Source organism: Homo sapiens, chromosome X (assembly GCF_000001405.40).
Source record: "Homo sapiens chromosome X, GRCh38.p14 Primary Assembly".
In the NCBI taxonomy this organism is placed as follows: Eukaryota; Metazoa; Chordata; class Mammalia; order Primates; family Hominidae; genus Homo; species Homo sapiens.
Window position 1 is genome coordinate 49,320,436 of NC_000023.11, and position 27,959 is coordinate 49,348,394.

General features: G+C 44.8%; 3 protein-coding genes across 3 annotated transcripts in view, besides 1 other annotated feature; all 3 read left to right on the forward strand.

The window, feature by feature from the left end:
- Positions 1 to 1,601: 1,601 nt before the first annotated feature.
- GAGE12J (G antigen 12J) lies at positions 1,602 to 8,949 on the forward strand. Its single transcript, NM_001098406.4, has 5 exons — positions 1,602 to 1,709; positions 2,751 to 2,842; positions 3,308 to 3,428; positions 6,255 to 6,380; positions 8,836 to 8,949. Exons 2-5 carry the CDS (start codon positions 2,759 to 2,761, stop codon positions 8,856 to 8,858), a joined length of 354 nt encoding a protein of 117 aa, NP_001091876.2. The 5' UTR covers positions 1,602 to 1,709; positions 2,751 to 2,758; the 3' UTR covers positions 8,859 to 8,949.
- Positions 8,950 to 11,146: 2,197 nt separating this feature from the next.
- Positions 11,147 to 18,514, forward strand: GAGE13 (G antigen 13). Its single transcript, NM_001098412.4, has 5 exons — positions 11,147 to 11,254; positions 12,295 to 12,386; positions 12,852 to 12,972; positions 15,812 to 15,937; positions 18,401 to 18,514. Exons 2-5 carry the CDS (start codon positions 12,303 to 12,305, stop codon positions 18,421 to 18,423), a joined length of 354 nt encoding a protein of 117 aa, NP_001091882.2. The 5' UTR covers positions 11,147 to 11,254; positions 12,295 to 12,302; the 3' UTR covers positions 18,424 to 18,514.
- A 2,214-nt stretch (positions 18,515 to 20,728) lies between these two features.
- GAGE12B (G antigen 12B) overlaps positions 20,729 to 27,959 on the forward strand; it is a 188,819-nt gene continuing 181,588 nt past the window's right edge. The window contains exons 1-4 of the mRNA NM_001127345.3: positions 20,729 to 20,820; positions 21,861 to 21,952; positions 22,418 to 22,538; positions 25,362 to 25,487. Of these exons, the coding sequence (NP_001120817.2) occupies positions 21,869 to 21,952; positions 22,418 to 22,538; positions 25,362 to 25,487 (331 nt within the window). The 5' untranslated portion in view covers positions 20,729 to 20,820; positions 21,861 to 21,868. The remainder of the gene's footprint in view (positions 20,821 to 21,860; positions 21,953 to 22,417; positions 22,539 to 25,361; positions 25,488 to 27,959) is intronic.
- Positions 21,097 to 21,761: an enhancer, noted in NCBI's record as "H3K27ac-H3K4me1 hESC enhancer chrX:49216999-49217663 (GRCh37/hg19 assembly coordinates)". NCBI's record gives its function as "activates a minimal SCP1, AML or CMV promoter by ChIP-STARR-seq in naive H9 embryonic stem cells {active_cell/tissue: H9 hESC(naive)}" and the evidence as "EXISTENCE:reporter gene assay evidence [ECO:0000049][PMID:30033119]".

The following is a 27,959-nucleotide window of genomic DNA, read 5'->3' on the forward strand; positions in this document are numbered from 1 at the left end:
TATTTTTTTGTAGAGACGGGGTTTTGCCATGTTTCCCGGGCTGTTGTTGAACTTTTGAGTGCAAGTGATGCACCCACGTCATCTCCCACAGTGCTGGGATTACTGGCGTGGGCCACCGTGGCGGGCCCGTCGTTGCCATTGTAAAGAGTTTTATTTCCTTTTCTGATTTTATGGCATTGCGCAGACCCACCCGTTACAATGGTGACAGTGGACATCCTTGTCTTATCCCTGATGAGAAACCGAAAAATTTCAACATTTCACCATCCTATTCACTCTCCTTTTTTTGTAGATGGACTTTATCAGAGTGAGTCATTCCATTCTGTTCCAAATTTGCTGAGAGTATTCATTTGAATATATGTTGATTTTCATCAAACAGTGCATCTATTTCGATTACCACAGCGTTTTTTCCCATTCATGTGTTAATATAGTGAATTCGATTGATAAATTTGTACGTTTTTAGGTTCGATTATTAAAACTTGAGACAGCGTCTCACTCTGTCACCGAGGCTGGAGTGCAGTGGTGTTATCAGAGCTCGCTGCAGCCTTGACCTCCTGGGCTCAGGCGCTCCTCCCACCTCAGCCTCCTGAGTAGCTGTGAGTATAGGTACATGCCACCATGCCCAGCTAATTTTTCGATGGTTTTTTGTTTGTTTTTTGTAGTGATGAGATTTTCTGATGTTGCTTAGGCTGGTCTCGAAGTCCTGAGCTCAGGTGATCTGGCCAGCTCAGCCTCCCAAAATACTAGGATTACAGGCGTGAGCCTTGGCCTGGTCTGGTTTTTCTTATATAGGGGTCTTATCTATATAAAGACTAAAGTTAATCTGTGCCTTTGTGCGGGTGGGCTAAGAGCATGATGACTTTTATCATTCTATTGATTTAAAGAAAACTATCCTTGACTTACCAGTGTGTAAGGCCATGAAAGCATAATTCTGTTGAAAGCATATATTGTTAATGGGTGTTGGGAACCGTGCACTTTCCGCTGCTGTGGGAGCATGTCCTTGGAGGTACCTTTCATCTGTTTTCTCAACTCCAAACATCTTAGGACCATGGGTTGTGACTGGTAGGACTATGTATCTTGCTGCTTTCAAGACGGAGTATATTTTCACGTGGTTTCACTCTGGCTGTCCTGTTTCCCTAATACTGTCACTTCACCCTCTGTGATTCTGATGCTACAAATGATAGATATCGTTTTAGCATTTTCTTACGGGTCCTAGCGATTCTATTCATTTTTCTTTCAGTCTCTTTCTCTGACTTGTTCACAATGAACAATTTCCTTTTGGGATAGGTTGCTATTTCTGTTTTCGCAGGTGGTTTACCTGTCTTCCCAGCCAGTCACAGTGGTCCTTGTCCCCATGGTGGGTCCGGGGCAAGAGAGGGCCCTGGGTTGGGGGTGGGGTTCAGTTGAAGATGGGGTGAGTTTTGAGGGGAGCACTACTTGAGTCCCAGAGGCATAGGAAACAGCAGAGGGAGGTGGGATTCCCTTATCCTCAATGAGGATGGGCATGGAGGGTTTGGGGCGTGGCGCTGGGAACGGCAGCCCTCCCCAGCCCACAGCCGCGCATGCTCCCTGGGCTCCCGCCTCAGTGCGCATGTTCACTGGGCGTCTTCTGCCCGGCCCCTTCGCCCACGTGAAGAACGCCAGGGAGCTGTGAGGCAGTGCTGTGTGGTTCCTGCCGTCCGGACTCTTTTTCCTCTACTGAGATTCATCTGGTAGGTCTGCAGGCCAGTCATCCCGGGGGCTGAAGTGTGAGTGAGGGTGGAGAGGGCCTTGGGTGGGTCAGGCGGGTCCCGCTTCCTGGTCTGTGGCCTCCGAGGGAGAAGGGCCACGAGGTCGTCCTCCTTCCCTTCACAGGCTGCGAGGCCACCGGCGGCTTCGTGGTCGTGAAGGGGCCTGGACGGGGAGGAAGGTGGGCCGTGGAGGGGAGGCGGTCAGGGGCTCAGGTGAAGATGGGGTGAGTGCTGTTGGGGGGATGGAAGTCCCGAGGTGCCGGGAACCCCCGACGACACAGGGCAGATTCCCTGAATGGGGCCTCCGGCGGGGGCGAGGCGGGCGGTGAAGAAGGGGCCTGGCACCTGGGAAGGCTGCGGCCTGGTGAGCGCCCCCCCCAGCGGTGTGGAGTGCGGAGCGCCTGAGTGAGAAGCACTGCAAGGTCTCACCTCCGCCATGGAAGGTCCGAAAACAGTGGGAAGGAGTGGGCGAGGCAGTGCGGTCCAACCAAACTTGTTGTGAGGGGGGGTGAATGGCTCTAGGAAGTGGGAGTGTGCCCAAAGCAGCAATCACGAGAATTGTGATTCACTAGGGTTTTCGTGGGGAGTGCACTTGTGAAACTAAACCTCATCAGAAATGACCTCTGTCTGCGGGGCGCAGTGGCGCTCGCCTACGTAGTCCCAGTTACTCGGGACACTGAGGTGGGAGGATCCCTTGAGCGGGAGGTCGAGGCTGCAGTGAGCTGTGATCACGCCGCTGCACTCCAGCCTGAGCAACACAGCGAGACCGCGTGTCCAAAAGAAATTTAGAAAAAAATGTCCTCTGCCTTTTGCCACATGCCTTAAGATGATTGCTCTGCCAGCCTGGCCAGCAGAAGTGGCTTTGTAGGCACTCAGACAGCGTACACACGTATGCTTAACTCTGGGACTTATCTTGAGAGTATTTTCAAAAGTAAAACGGCAAGTTTACATTTATCCATGGAAGTGATCGAATATAGCAGCCCTGTGGAGCGCACGTTCCCAATCACGGTTGTCTGTTTTCAGTGTGAAATATGAGTTGGCGAGGAAGATCGACCTATTATTGGCCTAGACCAAGACCCTATGTACAGCCTCCTGAAATGATTGGGCCTATGCGGGTGAGTGCTTGAACGTTAATTCGATGTTTTCTATTAGTAGAAATTAATTTTTGTGATAGCGTTGTTGCATTAGTGTGGAAATGCTGATAAAGGTCTTTCCTGCTCATAAAAAATGATGATGGCATCTCATGAAGGAAACATTGATTCTGGAGGATTTTTTTTTTCCTCTCGTGTTCTTCAGCTTTTGCCCATGACTTCTTTCTCCGGCTTTGTTTGTTAATGACAGATTGTACACATGTATTCCAACACAGAGTACAATAGCCTCCAAAGTCCTCGTGCGTCACTTTTCTCACAGTAACCTCCCTGTGGGTGGAGTAACCTTATTGGGCATAGAGCATAGAGTTGGAGAAATGTCTTTAGGCTTAGTTAGGACCAGAAATAGCTATGTATTCTGTGTATATATGTAAAATTTTGTATCAATAACGAAACTTATTTTTTATTTGCACACCCACACGTATTCCCCAGCCCGAGCAGTTCAGTGATGAAGTGGAACCAGCAACACCTGAAGAAGGGGAACCAGCAACTCAACGTCAGGATCCTGCAGCTGCTCAGGAGGGAGAGGATGAGGGAGCATCTGCAGGTCAAGGTGAGGGAAAGGGAAGAAGAACGTCTGCTGGTGTGTGCGTGTGTGTGTGTTCGTGTGTGTGTGTGCATGTGTGTGTGTGTGTGTGTGTGTGTGTGTTAGGCATTGTCACATAGGAGGAAGAGGAGGAAAGAAAACAATGGAAAGAATGCCTGAAATTGACTGGAAAAGCGAGGAGGCTATGTAGTTTGCAGCTTAGCTTAGGCAAATCCCTCACTATGATAAAAGTTCTCGACTTTATGAATGAGAGAATGGAGGTGCCAGGATTGTGTGTTATCCAAGAACCCTTGACTGGTGAATACAACATTTGTATTGTGTTCCAAGGTTTGTGTCTTCCTATCATGTGTGTTGCTGTAAAGAAGGAAGTGATTTTGCTGAAAATGCTTAAAACTCAAAAGGCTTTACTGTAAGGTAGCTTAGTACTGACCCAAGAATAGACCCAGTTCAGAGGAGCAGGAGCAGCTCCAAAAACCGAGTCGCTGAATGTTGGCCCCCGTTTCCTTTGATTGATATTTTTATATGGTACGTTTGATAAAAGCTGGATAAATGAGGATACTGCCATACAGGTAGCTGGTTTAGTGATTTTTCTCAGCGGCTTTTAGGAGGTGATTAAATCCTTTTATGGTTAGAAAAGCAAAAACGGAATTATCCTGAGATTAACGTGAGATGGAAATAATTTCTCCGAGATAAAATGTTTTGAAAGGAAGCGTTTATGTAATGGAGGTCATGGATTATTCCAGGGATGCACTGTTAAAAGTTCCTAGAATCTGACTGACAACAATGCCCATTAATTGCTGTCCACCCACTCCCTTATTCTCAGTGCGGGACAGTATATTTTCTGTGATTCACAAACAATGTTATATTTGGTGCTTTGTTCTTCACGGGGTTCATTTATGGAATATTACCTTTAGGACCTTCGGACCTAAATATAACTTTATTTGAACAAAGTGAAGTTTCTCTTTACCCCAATAGGTAATGGGTGTCGTGACTGTAAGATTTTCCATAGTCCTCAAATCCGTCCAGCTAATCAATCCTTCAGAAACTGACATTGTAATTGTAACTGAAATCCTACCCACGTGGTAGACTTCAGATTTCTCAGCTGACGCACACTGCTGTTGGTACTCTAGGGCTGAATATAAGCATTATACATGTCCTGTGGTTTATCCTTAGATTGTCATTTAGGAGAAAGGTCTAAAGCTGGGCTGAATGCCATGCACTCATAGTCCCAGCTACTTGGGAGGCCGAGGTGAGAGGATTGCTTGAGTCCTGGAGTTCAAGCCCAGCCTGGGAAACACAGTGAGACCTCATCGCTAATAAATACATAAATGAATAAATAAATAAATACATAAATAAATTCATTAAATAAGTAAAGTTTTCATGGTATAGGAAAACACAGATGCAAAGTTTTTGTGCCTAGTGGCTGGTAATGTTGCAAACGTAACTCCTTAGTGAACTGTACCACTTAAAAATAGTTAAGATGGTAAATTTTAGGATATCTGTATTTTTTACCACAATTGGAAATTCCTTTCTTCCTAAAGTTCAGTGCAGTTATCATATATTCTTTTAAATTTTTACTGTATGTATCTTCAAGACATAGCATTCATAGAAAATTTGCAAGAATAGTACAATGAACTCATATACTGTTCATCTGGATTCACCAATTGTTAATAGCTTTCGCTTCATCAGTTTCACATCTCTTCCCTCCGTCTCTTACCGTGCTGCCCACACACTCACACACACACACACACACATACATACTGTTATTAATGCTGAATTGTCTCGATAAAGTTTCAGGTATTATGGTCCTTTACCCTATGTACTTGAGGGTGTGTATATCGTCAGAACAAAGAGAAAGTCATTTCTTGGATCATCACTGCACAAAGATGAAAATCAGGAAATTTAACAATGAGAAAATGGAGTCATTTAATACAGAGTGCATACTCAAATTTTGCCAGTTCCCCAGAAAATTTCTTTTTTCCTTTTTTTTTTTCTTTGTGTGAAGACGGAGTCTCTCTCTGTGGGCCAGGTTGGAGTGCAGTAGTGCGATCTCGGCTCACTGCAACCCACACCTCCCAGGTTCTAGGGATTCTCATGCCTCAGCCTCCCGTGTAGCTGGGACTACAGGCGCCGGCCACTGCGGGCTTGAACTTCTGGCCTCACCTGCTCTGCCCACCTTGGCATCCCAAAATGTTTGGATTGCAGGCGTGAGACCCCACGCCCGGCCCAGATAATTTTATTGATAGGATTTCTTTTTCTGATCCAGAGTCCAGTTCAGAATCACACCTTGCATGTGCTTTTCAGGTGTTTTTAGTTTCCTTTAACCTGTAATGTTTCCTTAATTTTTCTTGTCATTCACGATACGGACATTTTTGGAGAGGATAGACCAGTTGGTTTGCAGAATATTCTGCAGTTTGGGCTTTTTCATGTATTTTTAAAAGAGTTTTCTCACTCAGCGTTTATTGGTGGCTACTCATGCCATGTAAGAGTCTAAGCGCTAGGAGTGTAAGTGCTGTGAGAGACGGGATTTGAGCCTTGAGTCATTTAATACGAGAAGGACAATCAGAAGTAGAATAAGAGAGAAGTGCAAAGGAGGCAGCAAAGTTGTCTGAGGGCAGTCTTCGGAAAGGAAGAGGGTAATATTTGGAACACCTTGTTTTCCTGTTTTCTGCTAACGGACTCCTGAAATAATGTTCCTGGGATTCTTATCAACACATTTATTATTATGTTAGCTAAAGCTTTTATATAATAATACCGAGAGCGTGAATATTATTTTCTTATTCATGCGTTATGTTTTACTGCTTAAATTGATACGTATTTTTTATTTTTAAGGGCCGAAGCCTGAAGCTGATAGCCAGGAACAGGGTCACCCACAGACTGGGTGTGAGTGTGAAGATGGTCCTGATGGGCAGGAGATGGACCCGCCAAATCCAGAGGAGGTGAAAACGCCTGAAGAAGGTAGGCAATCCATTAGGCATGCACATTGTAGGGTGTCTGTTTCCACAGTATCATATTGTAAGTCTTACTATGTTTTTGAGACGGAGTCTCGCTCTGAAGACCAGGCTGGAGTGCAGTGGTGCCATCTCGGCTCACTGGAAATTCTGTCTCCAGGGTTCAAGTGATTCTCCTGCCTGAGCCTCTGGCGGAGCCGGGCTTACAGGCGGGCTCCGCCGCGCCCAGCTAATTGTTGTATTTTTAGTAGAGACAGGGTTTCGTTATGTTGCACAGGTTGTTCCCAAACTCCTGACCTCAGGTGATCCACCTGCCTCGACCATTGAAATTGCCGGGATTACAGGCGAGAGCCACCGTGCCCGACCCAGCATTATATTTTTAATAACAGAGAGGTAACAATACTGCGTCTTTAGTAACAGACTTCTTATATAAAGGTTATTTGAAACGTAGTTCAGGCCCCAGCACCCGACTGATAGACTGTCAGATAGGGAAACAAACTGAGTCAAAGCTATGTTGAATTAAAAGTTTTGAGTATAAATCCTTAAACCAGTAGCTCACAATTTTCAGATGCTTTTGTAAAGGTCTGCTTTTAATCAATACATAACACGTTTGTAACACCCATCACTTGGTGTGAAAAATGCTGAAGCACTCATGCGGGTTCTAATACCAGCTCTTACAGCCTTGGCGAGATTCTGAGTGAGTCCTTTCCCTTCTAAACCTATCTTTGGTTCTTATGAAAATAGTGAGTTTAAGTCAGAGACTTTAAAACCATTTTGCATTCCGTTTCTTTCATACTCTGATCCTGTTGCATAGAATGCGTGGGACACAGAGATCATCTGCTTCGCATGGTTTGTTAATCACAAATCATGAAACCCTGGCCCGAGTCATCTGAAAATCTCTGAATTGAGATTTCATTGTCAGTAAGACAGTGAGCGGGCCCTCTGCTTCATCCTAGTTTTTCCGTGTGGAGAGCTGAATACGTAGTATAAGATCTTGTGAAATTGTGAATTCTCCCTCTTCTTGGTTTGTTTGTTTGTTTGCGACAGAGTCTCAGTGTGTCACCCAGGCTGGAGTGCAGTGATGCAATTTCAGCTCACTGCAACTTCTGGCTCCCAGGCTAAAGCCGTCCTCCCACCTCAGCCTCCCGAGTGGCTGGAACTACATGCACAAGCCACCGTGCCTGACTACATTTTTTTGTTTTCATTTTTGTAGAGATGAGGTCTCACTGTGTTGCCCAGGCAGGGTTTCTCTGGCTTTTAATGAACAATTGCTTCTTTTTTTTCTTTTATTTATTTATTTATTTATTTATTGTTATACTTTAAGTTTTAGGGTACATGTGCACGTTGTGCAGGTTAGTTACATATGTATACATGTGCCATGCTGTTGCACTGCACCCACTATCTCATCATCTAGCATTAGGTACATCTCCCAGTGCTATCCCTCCCCCCTCCCCCCACCCGACAACAGTCCCCAGGGTGTGATATTCCCCTTCCTCTGTCCATGTGATCTCATTGTTCAGTTCCCACCTATGAGTGAGAATATGCGGTGTTTGGTTTTTTGTTCTTGCGATAGTTTACTGAGAATGATGATTTCCAGTTTCATCCATGTCCCTGCAAAGGACATGAACTCATCATTTTTTAGGGCTGCATAGTATTCCATGGTGTATATGTGCCACATTTTCTTAATCCAGTCTATCGTTGTTGGACATTTGGGTTGGTTCCAAGTCTTTGCTATCGTGAATAATGCCGCAATAAACATACGTGTGCATGTGTCTTTATAGCAGCATGATTTATAGTCCTTTGGGTATATACCCAGTAATGGGATGGCTGGGTCAAATGGTACAATTGCTTCTTAAATCTTTCCCCACGGAAACCTTGAGTGACTGAAATAAATATCAAATGGCGAGAGACCGTTTAGTTCCTATCATCTGTGGCATGTAGGTCAGTGATGCTCAGCATGGGTGTGAGTAAGATGCCTGTGCTATGCATGCTCCCTGCCCCACTGTCAGTCTTCATGAGCCACTATTTCTAATAAGACTGTAGACACGCATACGATATAATCATCTCTAATCATATCAAATGTTACATGTAAGTTTCAGCTTTAGAGACATGAATTGATAAGATTTAAAGTTGAAAGACCATGACTCTAGTACTTCCTGAGTAATCAACTGAAGTATGCTTTACACATGTGTTTTCCAAATTGCTGACTGTTAATTGTAAGTGCTTGTGACTTGAAAGGAAGCACTTGATGTTCAGGGGGGGAAATTCCTTTTAAATTCTGCAGGTCTACGCTCAAAGTTTATGCAGAGGTTCAATTGCGTGTAAGACACGGGATCACCCATAGGGTTCTGTTTTTAGTCCATTTAATAAAACCCAAACTGTAGTGTGCTTTGTATGCCTTTAGGGTCATCTGAATAATCTGTTGCTAAGTCATGTTCCCAATCGTTGTGTTTCTGTTACAGGTGAAAAGCAATCACAGTGTTAAAAGAAGACACGTTGAAATGATGCAGGCTGCTCCTATGTTGGAAATTTGTTCATTAAAATTCTCCCAATAAAGCTTTACAGCCTTCTGCAAAGAAGTCTTGCGCATCTTTTGTGAAGTTTATTTCTAGCTTTTTGATGCTGTGAAATATGTATCATTCTTTGAAATCGTGTATTGTAACTCTCTGAGCTGGTATGTAGAGACATCGTTCTTTTTTTTTTTCTTTCTTTCTTTGTTCTCTTTTGAGACGGAGTCTTGCTCTGTCGCCCAGGCTGGAGTGCAGTGGCGCGATCTCTGCTCACTGCAACCCCGCCTCCCGGATTCAAGCAATTGTCTGCCTCAGCCTCCCGAGTAGCTGGGATTATAGGCACCCACCAGCACGCCTGGCTAAGTTTTGTGTTTTTACTAGAGATGGGCTTTCGCCATCTTGGCCGGGGTGCTCTTGAACTCCTGACCTCGTGATTCACCTGCCTTGGCCTCCCAAAGTGCTGGGATTACAGGCATGAGCCTCCGCGCCCGGTGGAGACATAATTCTTACATATTGGTTTTCTATCCAGCGGCCTTGTGAAATATGCTTGTGAATTCTAAAGTTTACTTCTAGGTCGTTTTCAGTCTTCAATATACAGAAACATATCATCCTGGAATAAGAGCAGTTTTGTTTCCGCCATTTTTTTTTCTTTTCCCTTTTGTATTTTTTTGTAGAGACGGGGTTTTGCCATGTTTCCCGGGCTGTTGTTGAACTTTTGAGTGCAAGTGATGCACCCACGTCACCTCCCACAGTGCTGGGATTACTGGCGTGGGCCACCGTGGCGGGCCCGTCGTTGCCATTGTAAAGAGTTTTATTTCCTTTTCTGATTTTATGGCATTGCGCAGACCCACCCGTTACAATGGTGACAGTGGACATCCTTGTCTTATCCCTGATGAGAAACCGAAAAATTTCAACATTTCGCCATCCTATTCACTCTCCTTTTTTTGTAGACGGACTTTATCAGAGTGAGTCATTCCATTCTGTTCCAAATTTGCTGAGAGTATTCATTTGAATATATGTTGATTTTCATCAAACAGTGCATCTATTTCGATTACCACAGCGTTTTTTCCCATTCATGTGTTAATATAGTGAATTCGATTGATAAATTTGTACGTTTTTAGGTTCGATTATTAAAACTTGAGACAGCGTCTCACTCTGTCACCGAGGCTGGAGTGCGGTGGTGTTATCAGAGCTCGCTGCAGCCTTGACCTCCTGGGCTCAAGCGCTCCTCCCACCTCAGCCTCCTGAGTAGCTGTGAGTATAGGTACATGCCACCATGCCCAGCTAATTTTTCGATGGTTTTTTTGTTTGTTTTTTGTAGTGATGAGATTTTCTGATGTTGCTTAGGCTGGTCTCGAAGTCCTGAGCTCAGGTGATCTGGCCAGCTCAGCCTCCCAAAATACTAGGATTACAGGCGTGAGCCTTGGCCTGGTCTGGTTTTTCTTATATAGGGGTCTTATCTATATAAAGACTAAAGTTAATCTGTGCCTTTGTGCGGGTGGGCTAAGAGCATGATGACTTTTATCATTCTATTGATTTAAAGAAAACTGTCCTTGACTTACCAGTGTGTAAGTCCATGAAAGCATAATTCTGTTGAAAGCATATATTGTTAATGGGTGTTGGGAACCGTGCACTTTCCGCTGCTGTGGGAGCATGTCCTTGGAGGTACCTTTCATCTGTTTTCTCAACTCCAAACATCTTAGGACCATGGGTTGTGACTGGTAGGACTATGTATCTTGCTGCTTTCAAGACGGAGTATATTTTCACGTGGTGTCACTCTGGCTGTCCTGTTTCCCTAATACTGTCACTTCACCCTCTGCGATTCTGATGCTACAAATGATAGATATCGTTTTAGCATTTTCTTACGGGTCCTAGCGATTCTATTCATTTTTCTTTCAGTCTCTTTCTCTGACTTGTTCACATTGAACAATTTCCTTTTGGGATAGGTTGCTATTTCTGTTTTCGCAGGTGGTTTACCTGTCTTCCCAGCCAGTCACAGTGGTCCTTGTCCCCATGGTGGGTCCGGGGCAAGAGAGGGCCCTGGGTTGGGGGTGGGGTTCAGTTGAAGATGGGGTGAGTTTTGAGGGGAGCACTACTTGAGTCCCAGAGGCATAGGAAACAGCAGAGGGAGGTGGGATTCCCTTATCCTCAATGAGGATGGGCATGGAGGGTTTGGGGCGTGGCGCTGGGAACGGCAGCCCTCCCCAGCCCACAGCCGCGCATGCTCCCTGGGCTCCCGCCTCAGTGCGCATGTTCACTGGGCGCCTTCTGCCCGGCCCCTTCGCCCACGTGAAGAACGCCAGGGAGCTGTGAGGCAGTGCTGTGTGGTTCCTGCCGTCCGGACTCTTTTTCCTCTACTGAGATTCATCTGGTAGGTGTGCAGGCCAGTCATCCCGGGGGCTGAAGTGTGAGTGAGGGTGGAGAGGGCCTCGGGTGGGTCAGGCGGGTCCCGCTTCCTGGTCTGTGGCCTCCGAGGGAGAAGGGCCACGAGGTCGTCCTCCTTCCCTTCACAGGCTGCGAGGCCACCAGCGGCTTCGTGGTTGTGAAGGGGCCTGGACGGGGAGGAAGGTGGGCCGTGGAGGGGAGGCGGTCAGGGGCTCAGGTGAAGACGGGGTGAGTGCTGTTGGGGGGATGGAAGTCCCGAGGTGCCGGGAACCCCCGACGACACAGGGCAGATTCCCTGAATGGGGTCCCCGGCGGGGGCGAGGCGGGCGGTGAAGAAGGGGCCTGGCACCTGGGAAGGCTGCGGCCTGGTGAGCGCCCCCGCAGCGGTGTGGAGTGCGGAGCGCCCGAGTGAGAAGCACTGCAAGGTCTCACCTCCGCCATGGAAGGTCCGAAAACAGTGGGAAGGAGTGGGCGAGGCAGTGCGGTCCAACCAAACTTGTTGTGAGGGGGGGTGAATGGCTCTAGGAAGTGGGAGTGTGCCCAAAGCAGCAATCACGAGAATTGTGATTCACTAGGGTTTTCGTGGGGAGTGCACTTGTGAAACTAAACCTCATCAGAAATGACCTCTGTCTGCGGGGCGCAGTGGCGCTCGCCTACGTAGTCCCAGTTACTCGGGACACTGAGGTGGGAGGATCCCTTGAGCGGGAGGTCGAGGCTGCAGTGAGCTGTGATCACGCCGCTGCACTCCAGCCTGAGCAACACAGCGAGACCGCGTGTCCAAAAGAAATTTAGAAAAAAATGTCCTCTGCCTTTTGCCACACGCCTTAAGATGATTGCTCTGCCAGCCTGGCCAGCAGAAGTGGCTTTGTAGGCACTCAGACAGCGTACACACGTATGCTTAACTCTGGGACTTATCTTGAGAGTATTTTCAAAAGTAAAACGGCAAGTTTACATTTATCCATGGAAGTGATCGAATATAGCAGCCCTGTGGAGCGCACGTTCCCAATCACGGTTGTCTGTTTTCAGTGTGAAATATGAGTTGGCGAGGAAGATCGACCTATTATTGGCCTAGACCAAGACGCTACGTAGAGCCTCCTGAAATGATTGGGCCTATGCGGGTGAGTGCTTAAACGTTAATTCGATGTTTTCTATTAGTAGAAATTAATTTTTGTGATAGCGTTGTTGCATTAGTGTGGAAATGCTGATAAAGGTCTTTCCTGCTCATAAAAAATGATGATGGCATCTCATGAAGGAAACATTGATTCTGGAGGATTTTTTTTTTCCTCTCGTGTTCTTCAGCTTTTGCCCATGACTTCTTTCTCCGGCTTTGTTTGTTAATGACAGATTGTACACATGTATTCCAACACAGAGTACAATAGCCTCCAAAGTCCTCGTGCGTCACTTTTCTCACAGTAACCTCCCTGTGGGTGGAGTAACCTTATTGGGCATAGAGCATAGAGTTGGAGAAATGTCTTTAGGCTTAGTTATGACCAGAAATAGCTATGTATTCTGTGTATATATGTAAAATTTTGTATCAATAACGAAACTTATTTTCTATTTGCACACCCACACGTATTCCCCAGCCCGAGCAGTTCAGTGATGAAGTGGAACCAGCAACACCTGAAGAAGGGGAACCAGCAACTCAACGTCAGGATCCTGCAGCTGCTCAGGAGGGAGAGGATGAGGGAGCATCTGCAGGTCAAGGTGAGGGAAAGGGAAGAAGAACGTCTGCTGGTGTGTGCGTGTGTGTGTGTTCGTGTGTGTGTGTGCACGTGTGTGTGTGTGTGTGTGTGTGTGTGTGAGGCATTGTCACATAGGAGGAAGAGGAGGAAAGAAAACAATGGAAAGAATGCCTGAAATTGACTGGAAAAGCGAGGAGGCTATGTAGTTTGCAGCTTAGCTTAGGCAAATCCCTCACTATGATAAAAGTTCTCGACTTTATGAATGAGAGAATGGAGGTGCCAGGATTGTGTGTTATCCAAGAACCCTTGACTGGTGAATACAACATTTGTATTGTGTTCCAAGGTTTGTGTCTTCCTATCATGTGTGTTGCTGTAAAGAAGGAAGTGATTTTGCTGAAAATGCTTAAAACTCAAAAGGCTTTACTGTAAGGTAGCTTAGTACTGACCCAAGAATAGACCCAGTTCAGAGGAGCAGGAGCAGCTCCAAAAACCGAGTCGCTGAATGTTGGCCCCCGTTTCCTTTGATTGATATTTTTATATGGTACGTTTGATAAAAGCTGGATAAATGAGGATACTGCCATACAGGTAGCTGGTTTAGTGATTTTTCTCAGCGGCTTTTAGGAGGTGATTAAATCCTTTTATGGTTAGAAAAGCAAAAACGGAATTATCCTGAGATTAACGTGAGATGGAAATAATTTCTCCGAGATAAAATGTTTTGAAAGGAAGCGTTTATGTAATGGAGGTCATGGATTATTCCAGGGATGCACTGTTAAAAGTTCCTAGAATCTGACTGACAACAATGCCCATTAATTGCTGTCCGCCCACTCCCTTATTCTCAGTGCGGGGGACAGTATATTTTCTGTGATTCACAAACAATGTTATATTTGGTGCTTTGTTCTTCACGGGGTTCATTTATGGAATATTACCTTTAGGACCTTCGGACCTAAATATAACTTTATTTGAACAAAGTGAAGTTTCTCTTTACCCCAATAGGTAATGGGTGTCGTGACTGTAAGATTTTCCATAGTCCTCAAATCCGTCCAGCTAATCAATCCTTCAGAAACTGACATTGTAATTGTAACTGAAATCCTACCCACGTGGTAGACTTCAGATTTCTCAGCTGACGCACACTGCTGTTGGTACTCTAGGGCTGAATATAAGCATTATACATGTCCTGTGGTTTATCCTTAGATTGTCATTTAGGAGAAAGGTCTAAAGCTGGGCTGAATGCCATGCACTCATAGTCCCAGCTACTTGGGAGGCCGAGGTGAGAGGATTGCTTGAGTCCTGGAGTTCAAGCCCAGCCTGGGAAACACAGTGAGACCTCATCGCTAATAAATACATAAATGAATAAATAAATAAATACATAAATAAATTCATTAAATAAGTAAAGTTTTCATGGTATAGGAAAACACAGATGCAAAGTTTTTGTGCCTAGTGGCTGGTAATGTTGCAAACGTAACTCCTTAGTGAACTGTACCACTTAAAAATAGTTAAGATGGTAAATTTTAGGATATCTGTATTTTTTACCACAATTGGAAATTCCTTTCTTCCTAAAGTTCAGTGCAGTTATCATGTATTCTTTTAAATTTTTACTGTATGTATCTTCAAGACATAGCATTCATAGAAAATTTGCAAGAATAGTACAATGAACTCATATACTGTTCATCTGGATTCACCAATTGTTAATAGCTTTCGCTTCATCAGTTTCACATCTCTTCCCTCCGTCTCTTACCGTGCTGCCCACACACTCACACACACACACACACACATACATACGGATATATGTTTACTGTTATTAATGCTGAATTGTCTCGATAAAGTTTCAGGTATTATGGTCCTTTACCCTATGTACTTGAGGGTGTGTATATCGTCAGAACAAAGAGAAAGTCATTTCTTGGATCATCACTGCACAAAGATGAAAATCAGGAAATTTAACAATGAGAAAATGGAGTCATTTAATACAGAGTGCATACTCAAATTTTGCCAGTTCCCCAGAAAATTTCTTTTTTCCTTTTTTTTTTCTTTGTTGAGACGGAGTCTCTCTCTGTGGGCCAGGTTGGAGTGCAGTAGTGCGATCTCGGCTCACTGCAACCCACACCTCCCAGGTTCTAGGGATTCTCATGCCTCAGCCTCCCGTGTAGCTGGGACTACAGGCGCCGGCCACTGCGGGCTTGAACTTCTGGCCTCACCTGCTCTGCCCACCTTGGCATCCCAAAATGTTTGGATTGCAGGCGTGAGACCCCACGCCCGGCCCAGATAATTTTATTGATAGGATTTCTTTTTCTGATCCAGAGTCCAGTTCAGAATCACACCTTGCATGTGCTTTTCAGGTGTTTTTAGTTTCCTTTAACCTGTAATGTTTCCTTAATTTTTCTTGTCATTCACGATACGGACATTTTTGGAGAGGATAGACCAGTTGGTTTGCAGAATATTCTGCAGTTTGGGCTTTTTCATGTATTTTTAAAAGAGTTTTCTCACTCAGCGTTTATTGGTGGCTACTCATGCCATGTAAGAGTCTAAGCGCTAGGAGTGTAAGTGCTGTGAGAGACGGGATTTGAGCCTTGAGTCATTTAATACGAGAAGGACAATCAGAAGTAGAATAAGAGAGAAGTGCAAAGGAGGCAGCAAAGTTGTCTGAGGGCAGTCTTCGGAAAGGAAGAGGGTAATATTTGGAACACCTTGTTTTCCTGTTTTCTGCTAACGGACTCCTGAAATAATGTTCCTGGGATTCTTATCAACACATTTATTATTATGTTAGCTAAAGCTTTTATATAATAATACCGAGAGCGTGAATATTATTTTCTTATTCATGCGTTATGTTTTACTGCTTAAATTGATACGTATTTTTTATTTTTAAGGGCCGAAGCCTGAAGCTGATAGCCAGGAACAGGGTCACCCACAGACTGGGTGTGAGTGTGAAGATGGTCCTGATGGGCAGGAGATGGACCCGCCAAATCCAGAGGAGGTGAAAACGCCTGAAGAAGGTAGGCAATCCATTAGGCATGCACATTGTAGGGTGTCTGTTTCCACAGTATCATATTGTAAGTCTTACTATGTTTTTGAGACGGAGTCTCGCTCTGAAGACCAGGCTGGAGTGCAGTGGTGCCATCTCGGCTCACAGGAAATTCTGTCTCCAGGGTTCAAGTGATTCTCCTGCCTGAGCCTCTGGCGGAGCCGGGCTTACAGGCGGGCTCCGCCGCGCCCAGCTAATTGTTGTATTTTTAGTAGAGACAGGGTTTCGTTATGTTGCACAGGTTGTTCCCAAACTCCTGACCTCAGGTGATCCACCTGCCTCGACCATTGAAATTGCCGGGATTACAGGCGAGAGCCACCGTGCCCGACCCAGCATTATATTTTTAATAACAGAGAGGTAACAATACTGCGTCTTTAGTAACAGACTTCTTATATAAAGGTTATTTGAAACGTAGTTCAGGCCCCAGCACCCGACTGATAGACTGTCAGATAGGGAAACAAACTGAGTCAAAGCTATGTTGAATTAAAAGTTTTGAGTATAAATCCTTAAACCAGTAGCTCACAATTTTCAGATGCTTTTGTAAAGGTCTGCTTTTAATCAATACATAACACGTTTGTAACACCCATCACTTGGTGTGAAAAATGCTGAAGCACTCATGCGGGTTCTAATACCAGCTCTTACAGCCTTGGCGAGATTCTGAGTGAGTCCTTTCCCTTCTAAACCTATCTTTGGTTCTTATGAAAATAGTGAGTTTAAGTCAGAGACTTTAAAACCATTTTGCATTCCGTTTCTTTCATACTCTGATCCTGTTGCATAGAATGCGTGGGACACAGAGATCATCTGCTTCGCATGGTTTGTTAATCACAAATCATGAAACCCTGGCCCGAGTCATCTGAAAATCTCTGAATTGAGATTTCATTGTCAGTAAGACAGTGAGCGGGCCCTCTGCTTCATCCTAGTTTTTCCGTGTGGAGAGCTGAATACGTAGTATAAGATCTTGTGAAATTGTGAATTCTCCCTCTTCTTGGTTTGTTTGTTTGTTTGCGACAGAGTCTCAGTGTGTCACCCAGGCTGGAGTGCAGTGATGCAATTTCAGCTCACTGCAACTTCTGGCTCCCAGGCTAAAGCCGTCCTCCCACCTCAGCCTCCCGAGTGGCTGGAACTACATGCACAAGCCACCGTGCCTGACTACATTTTTTTGTTTTCATTTTTGTAGAGATGAGGTCTCACTGTGTTGCCCAGGCAGGGTTTCTCTGGCTTTTAATGAACAATTGCTTCTTTTTTTTCTTTTATTTATTTATTTATTTATTTATTTATTTATTGTTATACTTTAAGTTTTAGGGTACATGTGCACGTTGTGCAGGTTAGTTACATATGTATACATGTGCCATGCTGGTGCGCTGCACCCACTATCTCATCATCTAGCATTAGGTACATCTCCCAGTGCTATCCCTCCCCCCTCCCCCCACCCGACAACAGTCCCCAGGGTGTGATATTCCCCTTCCTCTGTCCATGTGATCTCATTGTTCAGTTCCCACCTATGAGTGAGAATATGCGGTGTTTGGTTTTTTGTTCTTGCGATAGTTTACTGAGAATGATGATTTCCAGTTTCATCCATGTCCCTGCAAAGGACATGAACTCATCATTTTTTAGGGCTGCATAGTATTCCATGGTGTATATGTGCCACATTTTCTTAATCCAGTCTATCGTTGTTGGACATTTGGGTTGGTTCCAAGTCTTTGCTATCGTGAATAATGCCGCAATAAACATACGTGTGCATGTGTCTTTATAGCAGCATGATTTATAGTCCTTTGGGTATATACCCAGTAATGGGATGGCTGGGTCAAATGGTACAATTGCTTCTTAAATCTTTCCCCACGGAAACCTTGAGTGACTGAAATAAATATCAAATGGCGAGAGACCGTTTAGTTCCTATCATCTGTGGCATGTAGGTCAGTGATGCTCAGCATGGGTGTGAGTAAGATGCCTGTGCTATGCATGCTCCCTGCCCCACTGTCAGTCTTCATGAGCCACTATTTCTAATAAGACTGTAGACACACATACGATATAATCATCTCTAATCATATCAAATGTTACATGTAAGTTTCAGCTTTAGAGACATGAATTGATAAGATTTAAAGTTGAAAGACCATGACTCTAGTACTTCCTGAGTAATCAACTGAAGTATGCTTTACACATGTGTTTTCCAAATTGCTGACTGTTAATTGTAAGTGCTTGTGACTTGAAAGGAAGCACTTGATGTTCAGGGGGGGAAATTCCTTTTAAATTCTGCAGGTCTACGCTCAAAGTTTATGCAGAGGTTCAATTGCGTGTAAGACACGGGATCACCCATAGGGTTCTGTTTTTAGTCCATTTAATAAAACCCAAACTGTAGTGTGCTTTGTATGCCTTTAGGGTCATCTGAATAATCTGTTGCTAAGTCATGTTCCCAATCGTTGTGTTTCTGTTACAGGTGAAAAGCAATCACAGTGTTAAAAGAAGACACGTTGAAATGATGCAGGCTGCTCCTATGTTGGAAATTTGTTCATTAAAATTCTCCCAATAAAGCTTTACAGCCTTCTGCAAAGAAGTCTTGCGCATCTTTTGTGAAGTTTATTTCTAGCTTTTTGATGCTGTGAAATATGTATCATTCTTTGAAATCGTGTATTGTAACTCTCTGAGCTGGTATGTAGAGACATCGTTCTTTTTTTTTTTCTTTCTTTCTTTGTTCTCTTTTGAGACGGAGTCTTGCTCTGTCGCCCAGGCTGGAGTGCAGTGGCGCGATCTCTGCTCACTGCAACCCCGCCTCCCGGATTCAAGCAATTGTCTGCCTCAGCCTCCCGAGTAGCTGGGATTATAGGCACCCACCAGCACGCCTGGCTAAGTTTTGTGTTTTTACTAGAGATGGGCTTTCGCCATCTTGGCCGGGGTGCTCTTGAACTCCTGACCTCGTGATTCACCTGCCTTGGCCTCCCAAAGTGCTGGGATTACAGGCATGAGCCTCCGCGCCCGGTGGAGACATAATTCTTACATATTGGTTTTCTATCCAGCGGCCTTGTGAAATATGCTTGTGAATTCTAAAGTTTACTTCTAGGTCGTTTTCAGTCTTCAATATACAGAAACATATCATCCTGGAATAAGAGCAGTTTTGTTTCCGCCATTTTTTTTTCTTTTCCCTTTTGTATTTTTTTGTAGAGACGGGGTTTTGCCATGTTTCCCGGGCTGTTGTTGAACTTTTGAGTGCAAGTGATGCACCCACGTCACCTCCCACAGTGCTGGGATTACTGGCGTGGGCCACCGTGGCGGGCCCGTCGTTGCCATTGTAAAGAGTTTTATTTCCTTTTCTGATTTTATGGCATTGCGCAGACCCACCCGTTACAATGGTGACAGTGGACATCCTTGTCTTATCCCTGATGAGAAACCGAAAAATTTCAACATTTCGCCATCCTATTCACTCTTCTTTTTTTGTAGACAGACTTTATCTAGAGTGAGTCATTCCATTCTGTTCCAAATTTGCTGAGAGTATTCATTTGAATATATGTTGATTTTCATCAAACAGTGCATCTATTTCGATTACCACAGCGTTTTTTCCCATTCATGGGTTAATATAGTGAATTCGATTGATAAATTTGTACGTTTTTAGGTTCGATTATTAAAACTTGAGACAGCGTCTCACTCTGTCACCGAGGCTGGAGTGCGGTGGTGTTATCAGAGCTCGCTGCAGCCTTGACCTCCTGGGCTCAAGCGCTCCTCCCACCTCAGCCTCCTGAGTAGCTGTGAGTATAGGTACATGCCACCATGCCCAGCTAATTTTTTGATGGTTTTTTTGTTTGTTTTTTGTAGTGATGAGATTTTCTGATGTTGCTTAGGCTGGTCTCGAAGTCCTGAGCTCAGGTGATCTGGCCAGCTCAGCCTCCCAAAATACTAGGATTACAGGCGTGAGCCTTGGCCTGGTCTGGTTTTTCTTATATAGGGGTCTTATCTATATAAAGACTAAAGTTAATCTGTTCCTTTGTGCGGGTGGGCTAAGAGCATGATGACTTTTATCATTCTATTGATTTAAAGAAAACTGTCCTTGACTTACCAGTGTGTAAGTCCATGAAAGCATAATTCTGTTGAAAGCATATATTGTTAATGGGTGTTGGGAACCGTGCACTTTCCGCTGCTGTGGGAGCATGTCCTTGGAGGTACCTTTCATCTGTTTTCTCAACTCCAAACATCTTAGGACCATGGGTTGTGACTGGTAGGACTATGTATCTTGCTGCTTTCAAGACGGAGTATATTTTCACGTGGTGTCACTCTGGCTGTCCTGTTTCCCTAATACTGTCACTTCACCCTCTGCGATTCTGATGCTACAAATGATAGATATCGTTTTAGCATTTTCTTACGGGTCCTAGCGATTCTATTCATTTTTCTTTCAGTCTCTTTCTCTGACTTGTTCACATTGAACAATTTCCTTTTGGGATAGGTTGCTATTTCTGTTTTCGCAGGTGGTTTACCTGTCTTCCCAGCCAGTCACAGTGGTCCTTGTCCCCATGGTGGGTCCGGGGCAAGAGAGGGCCCTGGGTTGGGGGTGGGGTTCAGTTGAAGATGGGGTGAGTTTTGAGGGGAGCACTACTTGAGTCCCAGAGGCATAGGAAACAGCAGAGGGAGGTGGGATTCCCTTATCCTCAATGAGGATGGGCATGGAGGGTTTGGGGCGTGGCGCTGGGAACGGCAGCCCTCCCCAGCCCACAGCCGCGCATGCTCCCTGGGCTCCCGCCTCAGTGCGCATGTTCACTGGGCGCCTTCTGCCCGGCCCCTTCGCCCACGTGAAGAACGCCAGGGAGCTGTGAGGCAGTGCTGTGTGGTTCCTGCCGTCCGGACTCTTTTTCCTCTACTGAGATTCATCTGGTAGGTGTGCAGGCCAGTCATCCCGGGGGCTGAAGTGTGAGTGAGGGTGGAGAGGGCCTCGGGTGGGTCAGGCGGGTCCCGCTTCCTGGTCTGTGGCCTCCGAGGGAGAAGGGCCACGAGGTCGTCCTCCTTCCCTTCACAGGCTGCGAGGCCACCGGCGGCTTCGTGGTCGTGAAGGGGCCTGGACGGGGAGGAAGGTGGGCCGTGGAGGGGAGGCGGTCAGGGGCTCAGGTGAAGACGGGGTGAGTGCTGTTGGGGGGATGGAAGTCCCGAGGTGCCGGGATCCCCGACGACACAGGGCAGATTCCCTGAATGGGGCCCCCGGCGGGGGCGAGGCGGGCGGTGAAGAAGGGGCCTGGCACCTGGGAAGGCTGCGGCCTGGCGAGCGCCCCCCCCAGCGGTGTGGAGTGCGGAGCGCCCGAGTGAGAAGCACTGCAAGGTCTCACCTCCGCCATGGAAGGTCCGAAAACAGTGGGAAGGAGTGGGCGAGGCAGTGCGGTCCAACCAAACTTGTTGTGAGGGGGGGTGAATGGCTCTAGGAAGTGGGAGTGTGCCCAAAGCAGCAATCACGAGAATTGTGATTCACTAGGGTTTTCGTGGGGAGTGCACTTGTGAAACTAAACCTCATCAGAAATGACCTCTGTCTGCGGGGCGCAGTGGCGCTCGCCTACGTATTCCCAGTTACTGGGGACACTGAGGTGGGAGGATCCCTTGAGCGGGAGGTCGAGGCTGCAGTGAGCTGTGATCACGCCGCTGCACTCCAGCCTGAGCAACACAGCGAGACCGCGTGTCCAAAAGAAATTTAGAAAAAAATGTCCTCTGCCTTTTGCCACACGCCTTAAGATGATTGCTCTGCCAGCCTGGCCAGCAGAAGTGGCTTTGTAGGCACTCAGACAGCGTACACACGTATGCTTAACTCTGGGACTTATTTTGAGAGTATTTTCAAAAGTAAAACGGCAAGTTAACATTTATCCATGGAAGTGATCGAATATAGCAGCCCTCTGGAGCGCACGTTCCCAATCACGGTTGTCTGTTTTCAGTGTGAAATATGAGTTGGCGAGGAAGATCGACCTATTATTGGCCTAGACCAAGGCGCTATGTACAGCCTCCTGAAATGATTGGGCCTATGCGGGTGAGTGCTTAAACGTTAATTCGATGTTTTCTATTAGTAGAAATTAATTTTTGTGATAGCGTCGTTGCATTAGTGTGGAAATGCTGATAAAGGTCTTTCCTGCTCATAAAAAATGAGGATGGCATCTCATGAAGGAAACATTGATTCTGGAGGATTTTTTTTTTCCTCTCGTGTTCTTCAGCTTTTGCCCATGACTTCTTTCTCCGGCTTTGTTTGTTAATGACAGATTGTACACATGTATTCCAACACAGAGTATAATAGCCCCCAAAGTCCTCGTGTGTCACTTTTCTCACAGTAACCTCCCTGTGGTTGGAGTAACCTTATTGGGCATAGAGCATAGAGTTGGAGAAATGTCTTTAGGCTTAGTTATGACCAGAAATAGCTATGTATTCTGTGTATATATGTAAAATTTTGTATCAATAACGAAACTTATTTTTTATTTGCACACCCACACGTATTCCCCAGCCCGAGCAGTTCAGTGATGAAGTGGAACCAGCAACACCTGAAGAAGGGGAACCAGCAACTCAACGTCAGGATCCTGCAGCTGCTCAGGAGGGAGAGGATGAGGGAGCATCTGCAGGTCAAGGTGAGGGAAAGGGAAGAAGAACGTCTGCTGGTGTGTGCGTGTGTGTGTGTTCGTGTGTGTGTGTGCACGTGTGTGTGTGTTAGGCATTGTCACATAGGAGGAAGAGGAGGAAAGAAAACAATGGAAAGAATGCCTGAAATTGACTGGAAAAGCGAGGAGGCTATGTAGTTTGCAGCTTAGCTTAGGCAAATCCCTCACTATGATAAAAGTTCTCGACTTTATGAATGAGAGAATGGAGGTGCCAGGATTGTGTGTTATCCAAGAACCCTTGACTGGTGAATACAACATTTGTACTGTGTTCTAAGGTTTGTGTCTTCCTATCATGTATGTTGCTGGAAAGAAGGAAGTGATTTTGCTGAAAATGCTTAAAACTCAAAAGGCTTTACTGTAAGGTAGCTTAGTACTGACCCAAGAATAGACCCAGTTCAGAGGAGCAGGAGCAGCTCCAAAAACCGAGTCGCTGAATGTTGGCCCCCGTTTCCTTTGATTGATATTTTTATATGGTACGTTTGATAAAAGCTGGATAAATGAGGATACTGCCATACAGGTAGCTGGTTTAGTGATTTTTCTCAGCGGCCTTTAGGAGGTGATTAAATCCTTTTATGGTTAGAAAAGCAAAAACGGAATTATCCTGAGATTAACGTGAGATGGAAATAATTTCTCCGAGATAAAATGTTTTGAAAGGAAGCATTTATGTAACGGAGGTCGTGGATTATTCCAGGGATGCACTGTTAAAAGTTCCTAGAATCTGACTGACAACAATGCCCATTAATTGCTGTCCGCCCACTCCCTTATTCTCAGTGCGGGGGACAGTATATTTTCTGTGATTCACAAACAATGTTATATTTGGTGCTTTGTTCTTCACAGGGTTCATTTATGGAATATTACCTTTAGGACCTTCGGACCTAAATATAACTTTATTTGAACAAAGTGAAGTTTCTCTTTACCCCGATAGGTAATGGGTGTCGTGACTGTAAGATTTTCCATAGTCCTCAAATCCATCCAGCTAATCAATCCTTCAGAAACTGACATTGTAATTGTAACTGAAATCCTACCCACGTGGTAGACTTCAGATTTCTCAGCTGACGCACACTGCTGTTGGTACTCTAGGGCTGAATATAAGCATTATACATGTCCTGTGGTTTATCCTTAGATTGTCATTTAGGAGAAAGGTCTAAAGCTGGGCTGAATGCCATGCACTCATAGTCCCAGCTACTTGGGAGGCCGAGGTGAGAGGATTGCTTGAGTCCTGGAGTTCAAGCCCAGCCTGGGAAACACAGTGAGACCTCATTGCTAATAAATAAATAAATGAATAAATAAATAAACACATAAATAAATTCATTAAATAAATAAAGTTTTCATGGTATAGGAAAACACAGATGCAAAGTTTTTGTGCCTAGTGGCTGGTAATGTTGCAAACGTAACTCCTTAGTGAACTGTACCACTTAAAAATAGTTAAGATGGTAAATTTTAGGATATCTGTATTTTTTACCACAATTGGAAATTCCTTTCTTCCTAAAGTTCAGTGCAGTTATCATATATTCTTTTAAATTTTTACTGTATGTATCTTCAAGACGTAACATTTATAGAAAATTTGCAAGAATAGTACAATGAACTCATATACTGTTCATCTGGATTCACCAATTGTTAGTAGCTTTCGCTTCATAGGTTTCACATCTCTTCCCTCCGTCTCTTACCGTGCTGCCCACACACTCACACACACACACTCACACACACATACGGATATATGTTTACTGTTATTAATGGTGAATTGTCTCGATAAAGTTTCAGGGATTATGGTCCTTTACCCTATGTACTTGAGGGTGTGTATATCGTCAGAACAAAGAGAAAGTCATTTCTTGGATCATCACTGCACAAAGTTGAAAATCAGGAAATTTAACAATGAGAAAATGGAGTCATTTAATACAGAGTGCATACTCAAATTTTGCCAGTTCCCCAGAAAATTTCTTTTTTCCTTTTTTTTTTCTTTGTTGAGACGGAGTCTCTCTCTGTGGGCCAGGTTGGAGTGCAGTAGTGCGATCTCGGCTCACTGCAACCTACACCTCCCAGGTTCTAGGGATTCTCATGCCTCAGCCTCCCGTGTAGCTGGGACTACAGGCGCCGGCCACTGCGGTCTTGAACTTCTGGCCTCACCTGCTCTGCCCACCTTGGCATCCCAAAATGTTTGGATTGCAGGCGTGAGACCCCACGCCCGGCCCAGATAATTTTATTGATAGGATTTCTTTTTCTGATCCAGAGTCCAGTTCAGAATCACACCTTGCATGTGCTTTTCAGGTGTTTTTAGTTTCCTTTAACCTGTAATGTTTCCTTAATTTTTCTTGTCATTCACGATACGGACATTTTTGGAGAGGATAGACCAGTTGGTTTGCAGAATATTCTGCAGTTTGGGCTTTTTCATGTATTTTTAAAAGAGTTTTCTCACTCAGCGTTTATTGGTGGCTACTCATGCCATGTAAGAGTCTAAGCGCTAGGAGTGTAAGTGCTGTGAGAGACGGGATTTGAGCCTTGAGTCATTTAATACGAGAAGGACAATCAGAAGTAGAATAAGAGAGAAGTGCAAAGGAGGCAGCAAAGTTGTCTGAGGGCAGTCTTCGGAAAGGAGGAGGGTAATATTTGGAACACCTTGTTTTCCTGTTTTCTGCTAACGGACTCCTGAAATAATGTTCCTGGGATTCTTATCAACACATTTATTATTACGTTAGCTAAAGCTTTTATATAATAATACCGAGAGCATGAATATCATTTTCTTATTCATATTTTATGTTTTACTGCTTAAATTGATACGTATTTTTTATTTTTAAGGGCCGAAGCCTGAAGCTCATAGCCAGGAACAGGGTCACCCACAGACTGGGTGTGAGTGTGAAGATGGTCCTGATGGGCAGGAGATGGACCCGCCAAATCCAGAGGAGGTGAAAACGCCTGAAGAAGGTAGGCAATCCATTAGGCATGCACATTGTAGGGTGTCTGTTTCCACAGTATCATACTGTAACTCTTACTATGTTTTTGAGACGGAGTCTCGCTCTGAAGACCAGGCTGGAGTGCAGTGGTGCCATCTCGGCTCACTGGAAATTCTGTCTCCAGGGTTCAAGTGATTCTCCTGCCTGAGCCTCTGGCGGAGCCGGGCTTACAGGCATGCTCCGCCGCGCCCAGCTAATTGTTGTATTTTTAGTAGAGACAGGGTTTCGTTATGTTGCACAGGTTGTTCCCGAACTCCTGACCTCAGGTGATCCACCTGCCTCGACCATTGAAATTGCCGGGATTACAGGCGAGAGCCACCGTGCCCGACCCAGCATTATATTTTTAATAACAGAGAGGTAACAATACTGCGTCTTTAGTAACAGAGTTCTTATATAAAGGTTATTTGAAACGTAGTTCAGGCCCCAGCACCCGGCTGATAGACTGTCAGATAGGGAAACAAAGTGAGTCAAAGCTATGTTGAATTAAAAGTTTTGAGTATAAATCCTTAAACCAGTAGCTCACAATTTTCAGATGCTTTTGTAAAGGTCTGCTTTTAATCAATACATAACACGTTTGTAACACCCATCACTTGGTGTGAAAAATGCTGAAGCACTCATGCGGGTTCTAATACCAGCTCTTACAGCCTTGGCGAGATTCTGAGTGAGTCCTTTCCCTTCTAAACCTATCTTTGGTTCTTATGAAAATAGTGAGTTTAAGTCAGAGACTTTAAAACCATTTTGCATTCCGTTTCTTTCATACTCTGATCCTGTTGCATAGAATGCGTGGGACACAGAGATCATCTGCTTCGCATGGTTTGTTAATCACAAATCATGAAACCCTGGCCCGAGTCATCTGAAAATCTCTGAATTGAGATTTCATTGTCAGTAAGACAGTGAGCGGGCCCTCTGCTTCATCCTAGTTTTTCCGTGTGGAGAGCTGAATACGTAGTATAAGATCTTGTGAAATTGTGAATTCTCCCTCTTCTTGGTTTGTTTGTTTGTTTGCGACAGAGTCTCAGTGTGTCACCCAGGCTGGAGTGCAGTGATGCAATTTCAGCTCACTGCAACTTCTGGCTCCCAGGCTAAAGCCGTCCTCCCACCTCAGCCTCCCGAGTGGCTGGAACTACATGCACAAGCCACCGTGCCTGACTACATTTTTTTGTTTTCATTTTTGTAGAGATGAGGTCTCACTGTGTTGCCCAGGCAGGGTTTCTCTGGCTTTTAATGAACAATTGCTTCTTTTTTTTCCTTTTATTTATTTATTATACTTTAAGTTTTAGGGTACATGTGCACGTTGTGCAGGTTAGTTACATACGTATACATGTGCCATGCTGGTGCGCTGCACCCACTATCTCATCATCTAGCATTAGGTACATCTCCCAGTGCTATCCCTCCCCCCTCCCCCCACCCGACAACAGTCCCCAGGGTGTGATATTCCCCTTCCTCTGTCCATGTGATCTCATTGTTCAGTTCCCACCTATGAGTGAGAATATGCGGTGTTTGGTTTTTTGTTCTTGCGATAGTTTACTGAGAATGATGATTTCCAGTTTCATCCATGTCCCTACAAAGGACATGAACTCATCATTTTTTAGGGCTGCATAGTATTCCATGGTGTATATGTGCCACATTTTCTTAATCCAGTCTATCGTTGTTGGACATTTTGGGTTGGTTCCAAGTCTTTGCCTATCGTGAATAATGCCGCAATAAACATACGTTGTGCATGTGTCTTTTATAGCAGCATGATTTTATAGTCCCTTTGGGGTATATACCCCAGTAATGGGATGGCTTGGGTCAAATTGGTAACAATTTGCTTCTTAAATCTTTTCCCCACGGAAAACCTTGAGTGACTGAAATTAATTATAAAAGGTTATTTGAAACGTAGTTCAGGCCCCAGCACCCGACTGATAGACTGTCAGGTAGGGAAACAAACTGAGTCAAAGCTATGTTGAATTAAAAGTTTTGAGTGTAAATCCTTAAACCAGTAGCTCACAATTTTCAGATGCTTTTGTAAAGGTCTGCTTTTAATCAATACATAACACGTTTGTAACACCCATCACTTGGTGTGAAAAATGCTGAAGCACTCATGCGGGTTCTAATACCAGCTCTTACAGCCTTGGCGAGATTCTGAGTGAGTCCTTTCCCTTCTAAACCTATCTTTGGTTCTTATGAAAATAGTGAGTTTAAGTCAGAGATTTTAAAACCATTTTGCATTCCGTTTCTTTCATACTCTGATCCTGTTGCATAGAATGCGTGGGACACAGAGATCATCTGCTTCGCATGGTTTGTTAATCACAAATCATGAAACCCTGGCCCGAGTCATCTGAAAATCTCTGAATTGAGATTTCATTGTCAGTAAGACAGTGAGCGGGCCCTCTGCTTCATCCTAGTTTTTCCGTGTGGAGAGCTGAATACGTAGTGTAAGATCTTGTGAAATTGTGAATTC